This window comes from Homo sapiens, chromosome 6 (genome assembly GCF_000001405.40).
Source record: "Homo sapiens chromosome 6, GRCh38.p14 Primary Assembly".
In the NCBI taxonomy this organism is placed as follows: domain Eukaryota; kingdom Metazoa; phylum Chordata; class Mammalia; order Primates; family Hominidae; genus Homo; species Homo sapiens.
Genome location: NC_000006.12, coordinates 154,426,845 through 154,440,265, shown reverse-complemented (window position 1 = coordinate 154,440,265; position 13,421 = coordinate 154,426,845). Strand labels below are relative to the sequence as shown.

Below are 13,421 nucleotides of genomic sequence, written 5' to 3'. Positions count from 1 at the left end.
CTGAAAAGCCGTGCTTTTTCTGGTTGTTTCTGGAATGTGAATTGTGAACTTTGTCTCTGCACGTGGCAGTTGTTTGCTCTAGTCCTGAGCAGCCATTGTTCTCAAGGCACATGGAGTTTTGAGGTCATGATCTTAGAAAGGTGCTCAGAGCAAGTAAAGTAGCTTCTGAGTTTTTGCTCTTTTTTATGGTGCATAAAGTAATTTTGACAAAAAAGAGTCTGATACCAGTTGTGATGCATTAGTCATACAGCCATGAAGGCATGGCATTTGTGGTTGAAGGCATTTCCCTGATACCTACCTTGAGTGTCCATTTTCTCCCTTGCTTCCCTCTTCCCGTAATATTTTCCTCATATTTTGATTTTGTTTTATTTTTAAGAGACAGGGTCTCACTCTGTTGCTTAGGTTGAAGTGCAGGGGTGTAATCGTGGCTCACTGCAGCCTCGACCTCCTTGCTCAAGCAATCCTTCCACTTTAGCCTCCTGGATAGCTGGGACTGCAGGTGCATGCTACCATGCCCAGCTAATTTTTCATTTTTTTGTAGAGACAGGGTCTTGCTATGTTACCCAGGCTGGTCTCAAACTCCTGGCCTCGAGTAATTCCCCTGCCTCTACCTCCCAAAGCACTGAGATTACAGGCATAAGCCACTGCACCTGGCCCTGTTTTGATTTTTAACAGAGTTTACTAGCGATCAATTAAATGAAAGAGTTAAATATTGTGATTAGCAAATGGGAAAGTTTTGCTTGTTGGTACATTTGTGTTTTATTGTGAAGGGTCCTCAACTGTGTGGCTGATTCAGGCTGTCCCCACTGCAATGTAGGGAGAGGAGAGAAAGGGATGAAAGTGAAGGCAGGGGGGGTCATGTTTGTTTCACGGGGTGAACTTCTGCCTGAGCAAGTTGATGTTGGCTTCCGAGGTATTTGGACACTTCTTTCAATACATTTTTATTTAGCACTTATTCTGTGTCTGCTGCCCTGGGATACCAGAGTGAATAAACAGATAAAAAGTCCCTGACCTTCTGGAGCATACAGTCTCTGGAGAGAAAATGGATAGATAAGCAGACTTTTATATATGAATATATGTGGTTATATTAAGGTAGAGCAATGCTAGGGAGGGAAGGCGCACAGGAAGGAGTGAGGGGAGTACAGTTTGAGATACGTGCCTAGAGCCGCCTCCTTGAGAAGGTGACACTTGAGTAATTCAGCCAGGAGAAGTCTGTGCTTGTCTGATGGGATGGGCTTATGCATCATCTCAAGTGCTACTTTTCCTGGTAATTGTAGAGAGGGGTCGATCGTTATGAACTGATGATTAAATAAAAAAATCTTCCCATAGGAGGTACATGTCCTGGTCACATCAGAAAGGTACCTGTGAGCGTCTTCATTGCGCCTGCCCAGCTTATTGGGGCCTAAGAATGCCTGGGACATGATGAATGGTGCTTTTTAAATGTGTGTTATATGAACGAAATAATGCTTTGGACAGATAGGCTGCTGAGAATTTGACTTTTATCAGAACTCAAGGGACACAAGAGGTATTAGTTTTGTTTGTTTCCGCATTCATTTTCTGTTTCTCTTTTTCCTGTGGTGCTCACTGAGGGAGGTTAGTCTAGTGGTTAAGAGCATATTCTTCAGAGAGAGGCAGCTATAGGTTCAAATCCTACCTCTACCATTAATTAGCCCTGGGGCCTTGGACGAGTCACTTATAATTTTTGAACCTCAATTTTCTCATTTACAGAATGGGAATACAAATATTTACCTTACCAGATAATTTGGTGGGATTTCTACAAGTTAATGTTGAGTTAAAAAAGAAAAAAGGCAAAAAAAAAGTGTGGTATGAAGATAAATGGTTACCATAAATACCTAAAATGCATGTGTGTGTGTGTGTTTGTGTGTGTATATATAAAACACGCATCATCCTATACAAACTTGTATACGAAGTAATATGTAAATACAGTGGATAATTTAGAAAAAAAGTTGTGTTTACTCTGGCAGGGGGAGAGAGAGGGAGGGAATGTAGGAGCCAAGGCAAAAAAAGAGAACAAAAAATTTTATTTATAAAAATCATGTATATGACCACATTTATGTAAAATTAGATACAGATAAATAATATAAAATACTTAAAAAATAATACCTACTCCAAAAGATTGTTATGAAGATTAAATGAGATATAACATGTGGGCCAGGTGCGGTGGCTCATGCCTGTAATACCAGAACTTTGGGAGGCCGAGGCGGGTGGATCACGAGGTCAGGAGATCGAGATACAACATGTGAAAAGCACAGTGCCTGCTTCAGAAGGAGTAGACTGTGGTAGGAAATACAAAAATCTTGCCTTGTACTTGTTTTCTGGAATCAAATTTGATAGTTTAAAGAGAAGAACTGGACAAATATACTGCCCTTATTCTCTGGTATTTTTTTGTTTTAAATTTGAACAGTTTTGAAGGAGTAAGACTGATATGTAAATATATATCAGGATATCATTTTCTGAACTTAGATTGAAAAATATGTTTCTTGACAAGTGCTCTTGACAAGCGCATGTTCTGTAGTAATTGAAGAACATAGCTGGGAGAGGTGGCTCACGCCTATAATCCCTGAACTTTGGGAGGCCAGGGCGGGTAGATCACCTGAGGTCAGGAGTTCGAGACTAGTCTGGCAAACATGGCGAAACCCCATCTGTACTAAAAATACAAAAATCACCCAGGGCATGGTGGCGGACACCTATATATCCCAGCTACTTGGGAGGCTAAGGCAGGAGAATCACTTGAACCTGGGAGGCGGAGGTTGCAGTCAGCCAAGATCGCGCCACTTCACTCCAGCGTGGGTGAAAGACTGAAACTCCATCTCAAAAAAAAAAAAAAAAAAAAAGAACATAGGTGCTTTGCCAAATGGTGATATTTGTGCATCTGTGCGCTCAGATACATACAAATTAGAAATTACAAACTTGATAAATGAGTTGAGTGTGGCTTACCCCATGTGCGTTGTGATGGTAGCAATGAGATTGAACGTGCCAGGGGACTTCACATTCTCTTGCAGCTGCTTGACAGAAGATCTGTTGACTCTTTGGGAAGACATCTGTCTTTGCCATTTATTCCTTTTAACTGGGGAATTGGAGGAATAAAAGTTGTATCTCTTTCCAGTGACAAAGAACATGTTCTGTCTGAGCCTTTATTCTTGGTGTCCTTGTCTGTGAAGAGACATTTGCTTGTCCCATCTCTCTTCTACATCTTGCCGTCCCCCCTTCTTCTTCTTGTGGTGACATCCTTCCTTCCATCCATCTCTGCATCCTTCCTTCCAATAATAATTTATGAGTCCTCTAATTTGAAGGATACATATTGCTGCTTCTTTTCTCCTGCAAGGAAACTGCACATTTCTTTTAAGAAATTTCTTCATTTCTTAACATTTTTTCAGCTGTAGTCCTACACCAAGTACAAGGATAGATCTTCCCGTTCAGTGTTGAGGCTGTAATTTGAGATGAAGGACCCCAAGGTGGGAAGGGATTGAGATCTGTATTTCCAGTGTAGTCTCCTCATGTCGGATGCCATGAAAACTGAAATAGAGACGGCAAGAGAGACACAATGGCCCTGGCAGGTGCTGAGTTTCAGTCTGGAAAGAAATAGGAAAATGACGCCAGATGTGTTGGTGCACACCTGGAGGCCCAGCTACTAGAGGCTGAGATGGGAAGATCTCTTGAGCCCAGGAGTTTGAGACCAGCCTGGGCAACATAACAAGATAGTATCTTAACAACAACAAAAAAAAGAATTAGGAAAATGAGCAATATTTGTCCTTGAGAAAACTGAATGGAAAGAAAACAAGCCTGCCAGGCTCAATGGCTCAGGCCTTTAATCCCAGCACTTTGGGAGGCCAAGTTGGGAGGATTGCTTGAGACCTGCCTGGGCAATATAGTGAGACCTCTATATTAAAAAAAAAAATTAAGGAGTTAGCCAAGCGTGGTGGTGTGTGCCTGTAGTCCCAGCTACTTGGGAGGCTGAGGTGGGAGGATTGCTTGAGCTTGGGAAGCGGAGGCTGCAGTGAGCCATGTTCATGCCACTGCACTGCAGCCTGGGTGACACAGTGAGACCCTGTGTCACATACACGAGAAGAAAGCAAGCCATGGAAGCAGAAGAGGAAAAGACTGCTGCTGAGTGCTGACTGTGTCTCAGGTGTCTATCCACACTTGACACATGCCATCACACCGAATTCTCAGCAGGTGTGCATCCACGCTTGACACATGCCATTGTGCATCCACGCTTGACGCGTGCCATCACACCAAATTCTCAGGTGTGCATCCACGCTTGACGCGTGCCATCACACCGAATTCTCAGCAGGTGTGCATTCACACTTGACGCGTGCCATCACACCGAATTCTCAGCAAATCTCAGAGGTAGGCTTTGTTATCACCCCATTTTAGAAAGAAGGAAACTAAGGCTCAGAGAAGTTAAACCTACTGCACAAGACTGCTCAGTTCCTGAGAAGGCAGAATAGGAGGAGAGGCAGGGGGGTGCTGAGTGCCACCCAGGCTGGGCCTCTGCTGCCAGGTGACCCAGGGCTGTGAGAAGCTCAGCTCACTGTCCAGCCTGGGAGGGTCGGTGACTTGGTTTTGCACTCATTTTTCCATTCCATTGCCTTCATGCCAAAAAACAATGTGAAGTCATGCCTGCAGCTGCTTCCTCTCGGCAGGAATGGGTGTGGGAACCACGTTCACAGTGGCGGGAGGTGAGAGGGAGTCCTTTCACACGCCAACTGGAACAATTTGGGAGGCGGGAAGCTCCTTGTGTTGCTGTCTCCATCACCACCGCAGTCACCACTGCAGGGAACCGATATTCTTGGTGGCCTCTTGGATCCCTCAAGGAATCAAGTTGTAGGAACCTTGCAGTCACAAGTCTACCTTGTTCTTGGGCTCTGGTGTATTGAGAGTTGGTCTCTGCCTCTAGGTGATGGTCTCCCTGAAGTGACAGTGCTTGTATTAATTTAGAGATTTGTGGGCCGGGTGTGGTGACCAATGCCTGTAACCCTAGCATTTTGGGAGGCTGAGGCAGGTGGATGGCTTGAGTCTAGAATTCAAGTTCAGCCTGGGCAACATGGTGAAACCCCGTCTCTACAAAGAATACAAAAATTAGCCAGGTGTGGTGGTGTGCACCTGTGGTCCCAGTTGCTTGGGAGGCTGAGGCGGGAGGATCACTTGAGCCCAGGAGGTCAAGGCTGCCGGTGAGCTGAGATTGCACCATTGCATTCCTACTTGGGCGAGAGAGTGAGACCTTGTCTAAAAAAAAAAAAAAAAAGGAATTTGTAGTGAAAGATTATAGACACAAAGATAAAGTATTAGTTTTATTTCTAGCACACGATCACATATGTATACTGTGTTTCTAAGGTTGAAATGTGTTTAACAAGTCTGCCAGACAGTATTAATAGGGGATGAGCCATAATGGTAGTTGACAGTTTAGTTTTATCTACAAGATAGAATTGGAAAAGCACATTTGGAGCTATAATTATTCCTGTTTACAGAAGCCGCTCCTGTAGTTTAAGATAATATCAAATTCACACATGTAAAAATACATTTCTAAATTTATTTTTTTTAAGTCTTTTCTCTCTAGGCTGCTCTTTTCCTGAGAGTCAGTATAAATTTTAGGAGCAGTCATTATTATTGTTTCCTACATTTTTATTTAGTAGAAAAAATTTTAAACAAATGTAAGAAGACAATAAAAGTCTGATTATTAAATCATATAGAGTAGAAACTGACAGGCATCTTCCTCCTTCAGAAGTAGTAAAAAATGACCTAAAAATGACTTTTTGATTGACGTGAAAAATCTTCACCTGACAATTCCAACACAGTTGATTAACATTTTGTCATGTACATAAAAGAAATTAGCATTATCTTTAAGATTGTCCTAACTTGGGATTATAGTTAATAGGGCTGAATAAACTCTATAGAATCTAGTTGTATCGATTTTTTTTTTCTGCATGCATTCTGCAGTATAGGTTGAAATCCTTTGCTACAGATGAGTTCTAGAAGGTTAACTGTGAAAGTTTCACATTGGCAATTTCACTTTGGCAGCTTTTAGACAAGACAATGGTGATTCCTATAATCAGCTAACCCAGTTCATACAGTGTTCCAAGCCTTTTGTTCTTAAGCTGAATAAATAATGCTTTGCATTCCAGCCCTTTATTTCATGTCATCAATAGCATACCTCAAGACCACTTTTTTGTCAGTGTGTTAATGAATGTTTTGTTGAACCCTTTTCATCTATCAAGGACTGAAATATCTGATTTAATCTCAGTGGTGCTTAAAATAAACTTTTGTGGCTGAGTTTACTCAAGCCCTTATTTGAAAGCTATTCTTATAGGCAGGCCCAGAGCTAAAGACTGCCAGCTTGTTGGCCCACTGCTGTCTGTTCCTGGGGGCACATTGGGAGCCGTCGTCAGGTTTCTTGACTTGGACTTCTGACTTACTACTCTCTGGACAGTCTGGAGAGTAGGTGGATTTCAGTTCAGTTATTTTTGTAAGTTTTCAAATTAAGTAATTGGCCAAGTGGGTTCCTTGGATGAGAACTCCTTAGGTCAGGGGAGAGCAGGACCTTCGGAAGGTGCAAACGTCAGCTCTGTTCCCACTCTGCCCTCTCATTCCCATCCCAGTCCTGCAGGACTGTGCAGGCTGACGGGTGTGTCAGGGACCGTCTTGAGCTGCAGAAAATGTCTAGAAAGCTAGGCCAACAGTTCTGAACGTTTTTAACTCTTGTACTTAGTATTCATTTTCTCCATCCCCTTCTTTAGGATTGCTTTGTAGCGGAAATGGAGGATAAAGTTTTAACTGTGGTAAGTATACATTCTAAAAGTTATTGTAAAATTCATTTTCCAAAGGCAGTGGGAATCACATTAAGTAAATGCCCTGTGGCTAATTACTTCAGGAGATACTTTGAAATATTGGCTTTTGGGACATGAGTTTTTAAATTTAGGTGGAAGAGAAAGCATAAAAGTTATTTAACAAGACCAACTACTGTGAAAATTCCTGTGCTTAAATTAACTACATCGAGTCTCTGTTTTATTTTTTTTTCTGAACATTTTATCAGGATACAGTTATATGTATATTGCTAGCTAGCCTGCTAGTCAGGATTGAACTGATGTGCAAATTTCACTTTAGGACCATTTTGATTTAAGAAAAAAATTCTTGGCAAAAACCTTATGATGGAGGGGGGATGTGCTGTAACTGTTTAAGGAGCATTTTGTAACTATTCATCATCACTTCCTCCTTTTGACATACGCCAGCCTGTGCTCTTTTGATAAGGCCTTCCTCCTACTGATGTTGAGGAATTTAGCAATGAAACTGCTATAAATATATTTTCCATAAATAGGGAGGCCAAACAAATTGGAGGAATGTAAAAAGTATCACTTCTTGGATTCTCCCCCTTGGAAAGAAAAATCACTCTTTGGAATTTCCTGATTTCTTTGGTTGTTTAATTTTGAAAGGTTAGATGAGTCTGATTGGGGAAATACCACACGTAGCCACTGTGACTTCTATAAGGAGACCACTTAATAGGGATCCTCTCATTGTCTCTTTAGTTTTACCTTGTCAGTGTTTGGCATTCAAAGAATGTGAGTGATCACTAAAAAGATGATAGACCTAAATGTAAAATGCAAAACTATAAACCATCTAAAAGATAACATAGGGGAAAATTTGGGTGACTGTGTTTTGCAATGAGTTTTCAGATAGAACACCAAAAGCATAATTCATGAAAGAAAAATTGATAAGGTAGACTTCATTAAAATTAAAAACTGCTATGTGAAATGCACTGTTAAGAGAATGAAAAGACAAGCCACAGACTGGGAGGATATATATTTTCAAAACACCTATCAGATAAAGGACTTGTATCCAAAATATACAAAGAACAAGAACAAAATATACAAAAAACAAGAATAAGAAGACAAACAACCCAATTAAAAAGGAGACAAAAGATCTGAACAGGTACTTCACCAAAGAATACATACAAATGGCAAATAAGCCTATGAAGAGATGTTCAATGTCATTTGTATTAGGGAATTGTAAATTAAAACAACAATGAGATACCGCCATATACCTATTATATAGGCTAAAATATGAAACACTGACAACACCAAACGCTGCTGAGGTTGTGGAGCAACAGGAACGCTCGTTAATTGCTGGTGGAAATGCAAAATGGTGCAGGCAGTTTGGAGGACAATTTGGAAGTTTCTTACAAAACTAAACATATTCTTACCATATGATCCAACAGTTGTGCTCCTACATATTTACCCAAAGGAGTTGAAAATTTACATCAAAAAATGTGCACAGGATGTTTATAGCAGATTTACTCAAAATTGCCAAAAAAGTTGGAAGCAACCTTAATGTCTCTCAATAGATGAATGGATAAACAAACTGTTGTACATCTATAAAATAGAATATTATTCAGCAATAAAAAAGAAATAAGCTATCAAGTCATGAAAAGATATGGAGGAAACTTACAAGTATGTTGTTAATTGAAATAAGGCAGTCTGAAAAGACTACATGCTGCATAATTCTGACTATTTGACTTTCTAGAAAATCAAAACCACAGAGACAGTAAAAAGATCTATGTTTGCCAGGGGTTCATGGTGAGGGATGGGGTGGTGGATAATTAGGTTGCATACAGGGGATATTTAGGACACTGAAACTATCCTATATGATACTGTAATGAAGGATACGTGACATTAGGCATTTGTCAGAACTCATAGAATGTACACCACAAAAAGTGAACCCTAATATAAATTATAGATGTTAGTTGATAATAGTGTCTCAATATTAGTTCATAATTTGTTTTTGGTGGCTTTTTTTTTTTTTTTTTTTTTGACAGAGTCTCGCTCTGTTACCCAGGCTAGAGTGCAGTGGTGCGACTCGGCTTACTGCAACCTCTGCCTCTGAGGTTCAAGCAATTCTGCAGCCTCAGCCTCCCGAGTAGCTGGGGTTACAGGCACACGCCACCATGCCCGTCTAATTTTTGTATTTTTAGTAGAGATGGAGTTTTGCCATATTGGTCAGGCTGGTCTTGAACTCCTGACTTCAGGTGATCCCCCTACCTCAGCCTCCCAAAGTGCTGGGATTACAGGCATGAGCCACTGTGCCCGTCCTAGTTTGTCATTTATAACAAATGCACCACACCTAGTACAAGATGTTAATAATAGAGGAAACTGGGAATGGAGGCTGGTGGTGGAGGGGATATATGGGAACTCAATGTACTTTTTGTTCAATTTTTTTTTTTTATAAACGTGAAACAGCTTAAAAAAGTAAAGTCCATTGAAAAAATGGCTTAGTCTCAAAACAATTTTTTTTTTTTTTTACCTTGTCAATATTTGGTATTCAGAGACTGTGAGCAATCATTGAAAAGTCAGGTAGGTGGTTGGGGAGAGATGATTCCACTTCATTGCTGAAAGGGGATTTCTGCCTGGCCTGTGCTCTTCAGTGGCCATAAAGGAGCTAATATAAAAGCTGCCTTTTCTAAACAAAGCTGAAATAGTGGCACTATTCCCACAGATGGTAAACATGGAGTCTAAATGCCATGCATTCACTGAGCAGAATTATCAAAATGATTGCCAACCAGAACTAACAATTATAGGTGAAATGCATTTCTCTAAAAATCAGCTTGAGATAAACTTGGTTAATGATTGAACTTTCCTGACTATTTGCTTCTCCAATTCTAGGTCAAGGTTTTAAATGGCATCTGTGACAAAACAATCCGATCTACCACAGATCCTGTGATGAGCCAGTGTGCATGTCTGGAGGAAGTTCACTTACCAAACATTAAACCTGGGGAAGGCCTGGTAAGTTCTAATAACACTTGTTTTATTTTCAGATAACATACATCATCATTTACTAAATTTTTAAAAAAATTCCTTATTGCTTTCACTATAATTCTGAAAAGCAGAATTAATTTAGACTGCCTTCCATTATGTAATTAGGAATGTGCTATCTTGAATCCTGTTGATATGTTTTCTATCCACAAAGTATAAAAATAAATACAGTTTAAAAACTGTATACTCGTATTTTGAAGATAACACTTTATTTTTAGGACTTAGCAATGCAAGGAAATATAAAACACTTACACAAAGGAAAGATGGTCTCTGGGTACAAAAATAACATCTGCTCTGAAAGTATTAGCACTTAGGATGAATGTGAGAAGGGACTGGCTGAAGGCAGTGATTCTTAAGAAGGGTTTAGAAATGTTTCATAAGTAATATATGAGCTATATCATAACAGGCTGTGGGACTACATACAAGTGATCTCCTAGTACCTAGCGTGCATCTTATGGGATTAATTTGCTGAAATTTTCGTGAAGAAGCTGTGAAGCCCATTAATTAGCTTAGAGGCTTTGAGTCAGAGAGAGCTGGGTTTAAATCCCGGCTCTTGAGGGACTTAACCTCTTTACATGTCAGTTTCCTCAGAGGGTTGTTGAAAGTATTGTATTAGATTGTGAATGCCAAGTACCAGGCACCAAGCATATAGTACGTGTGCATTAATGTGGCTGCAGCTACAGTTGCTGGTATTGATGATGTTGAGGAGAAGGAGGAGGAGGAGACGGGGGAGGGGGAAAGTATCTAATGTATAGGTAGCTGTCAGGAGCTGTTAAGGCAGTCTCTGCTCTTAGAAAAAACAAAAATCAACCAATTGTTGACAGGCCCACATTCTTAGTGAGCAGAAAAATGCATATTGGTACTGCTTGGCTTCAAAGCAAATGATGGATTATATCAGATTAAGTTTAAACAGGGAGGACTTCCTGGAGGTAGGTTTATAGTCACATATTTAAGCAGATAAATGTCCTGAGTAGGCAGAAATGGAGTTGTCATTTCAGATGGTAAAGTTATACCAGCAATGCCCTGGGAGGGGGAGTACCATGTGTAGAGGAGAAGCTGATATAATCTGCGAGTGAAAGTAACAGGATAGGAGAGGAATCAGGAGAACCTGAAGGCGCTGGTGTTTGATGGGGCTCTCATCATAGATTAGCGTAGGTTGATGAGCAGGCTGGGTGCAGCATAATTTCTGAGGAGGGTCCACATTATTACAGCATAGATACCAGGATGAGCAACTACTTTTTACCTGGTCTACTTTTTGCTCTCTTTCCCCATCTTGTAACAGTTTAATTTAAAAAAAATGTACACGTGGTGAGTCCAACTGCAGAAATAGTTCCTCAATGATACATTCGGTGTATCACTCAGTGAGGCATTGGCCTCTGAGTTTACCTCTCAGGCCTCTGAGGAGAGAGAATATTCATTCATCTTTACATTTCCCTTAAAAGGAGGGGTGTCTGTTACTAATTTGCTACCTATGCTTTGTTATTTAACAATCTTTGTTCATATATCTTTGTCTGGATTATTAGTAGCTTTAATAGTCACTCTGAGGTTATTTCTGTTACCAAATTTAAATGAATATATTGTGTCCCTAGACAGAGAAATGGTCAAGAAAGAACTGTTCTTTGGCTGGGTGTGGTGGCTTACACCTATAATCCCAGCACTTTGGGAGGCCGAGATGGGAGGATCACTTGAGCCCAGGAGTTTGAAACCAGCCCGGGTAACATAGTGAGATCCTTTCTCTATTAAAAAAAAAAAATAATTAGCTGGGTGTGGTAGCACACACCTGTAGTCCTGGCTACTTGGGGAGGCTGAGGTGAGAGGATCACTTGAGCCCAGGAGTTCAAGGTTACAGTGAGCTGTGTTTGCATCGCTACACTCCAGTGTAGGCAACTTAGCAAGACCATGTCTCATTATTAACATAATAGAACAGTTGTTGTTTGAAGTGCCTCACTCATTCACTCATCCTGTAGGTCTAAGAACACTCCCACATCCTCGGAGTTGTGGCATAATTCTGTGTGCCTGGTACACAGATTATAGTATCAAAGAGATCACATGTTTTATTTCTTTCACCAGTATTTCAGTTTGCTTAGCTCCCCTTCACCACCCTTTGGATCTTGTTTCTCGATGTTTCAGGAGGCTGAAAAATGAGTATTGTTCTGAAGGGACTGTTGTTAATGTTTTATAAGTTTAAGTCTCACTCGGGGCTATGTCTCTAAACGTTGGAGTAATGAGTTAATCTATTTGTGATTCACTCCAGGGCATGTACATCAAATCAACCTATGATGGGTTACACGTGATTACTGGAACCACAGAAAATGTAAGTGTATATTCATTAAGTGTAAAATCTGTTGTGTGTTTAAACAGATTTGATCCACAGTCTCTATACTTTGAATTTAAACGTGTGCATGCTGTTTGATTATTGTGAGAGCGTGGGTACCTGCTTTGTTTATTTCTGTTGATAGAGTACTGCTTGTCACCAGCTGTTGTCAATCTATTATTTAAATTGTCCTTTATTGCTCTTGTTCATATACCTTGCCCAGTTTTTACCCCTACCCTTGTGTTAATTATTCCTTTTGCACACTGGAAGTGTTAAGCCATAAATACAAAAGCAATGATCTTTTTGTTTTTGAGAGTCACTCTTATAAGAACTGGGATTGGTGGCCATGTGTATAAAATATAATTTTTTTTATTTAATGGAATTTTTATGTCTCCAAAGCAGCTATTTCAGGATTTTTTACAACATATTTTTATAGTTGTGTTTCATAATATTTGGCATGATATTGAAGTTTAGTCCTCTCTCCCCAGCCCTTGAATAGGAAAAGCAGGTCTGTTTCTACTGTGAGAGACTTCTGTACACTGTGTACTTCCTTCTGGAAATTCTGCTATGTGTAGAGTTGTCTTTAGCCCCTCAAACATTTTGAATTTGTGAGAAGTAGAGCTGGTTGAATGCTTTCTTCTTGCAGCCTACAATGTGGCTTGCTTTTGAAAGACATTGATATGAAACTAAAAATGTTTGAATAGCTTCCCTGGGTCTGTGCAAAAGAAGCATGTATTTGGGGGAATTAACCTATTTAATCAGCTAAGACAGGAGGAGATAATTCCTAAAATTAGGGGAAATTTTAGTAGCTGCTTTTCTAATCTGTTTGGTAGAAATATGTGTCTAATTTTGAGCTTCAGATGCTAGATCTTTTGATAAAGGAAAATGGCATGATCTTTGAGTGTCTGTGATAAGCACTTGATGTTTGTAGTGAGAAAATGATACTGCTTAAGGCAGTCAATGAATTATAAATACATTGCATGGTTCTGGCAGATGAATGGGTAGGAAATGGTAGTGTGTTTCAGGATTCTCTGTTGAGCTGCAGCGAGGAAGCCCTGAGAGTCACTAGGAGTTTTTATACCATGTCACCTCCTAGACAATAACAGCACAGGAAGCTCTGCTTTTAGGCTGGGGATGGTGCGGAAGAAAAGACACAAGATGCAACACACGATTCTTCCTTCATCCTTGATCGAGACTCAGTACATTGCAGCTCAGCCGTGATAAGAACACAGTCATATCTGTTTGTATGGAAGAGAAACATGGTGAATGTCTTTTCAGTTTTT

The 13,421-nt window shown here is 40.2% G+C and overlaps 1 protein-coding gene across 5 annotated transcripts in view; it reads left to right on the top strand.

The window, feature by feature from the left end:
* CNKSR3 (CNKSR family member 3) overlaps positions 1–13,421 on the top strand; it is a 123,171-nt gene that overhangs the window by 70,420 nt on the left and 39,330 nt on the right. For 4 of the 5 annotated variants that reach the window (NM_173515.4, NM_001368117.1, NM_001368116.1 and 1 more), the window contains exons 5-7: positions 6,759–6,800; positions 9,675–9,794; positions 12,079–12,138. In NM_173515.4, the coding sequence (NP_775786.2) occupies positions 6,759–6,800; positions 9,675–9,794; positions 12,079–12,138 (222 nt within the window). Of the gene's footprint in view, positions 1–6,192; positions 6,488–6,758; positions 6,801–9,674; positions 9,795–12,078; positions 12,139–13,421 lie in introns of those variants that run through there. The other variant, NM_001368119.1, reaches the window with a different exon arrangement.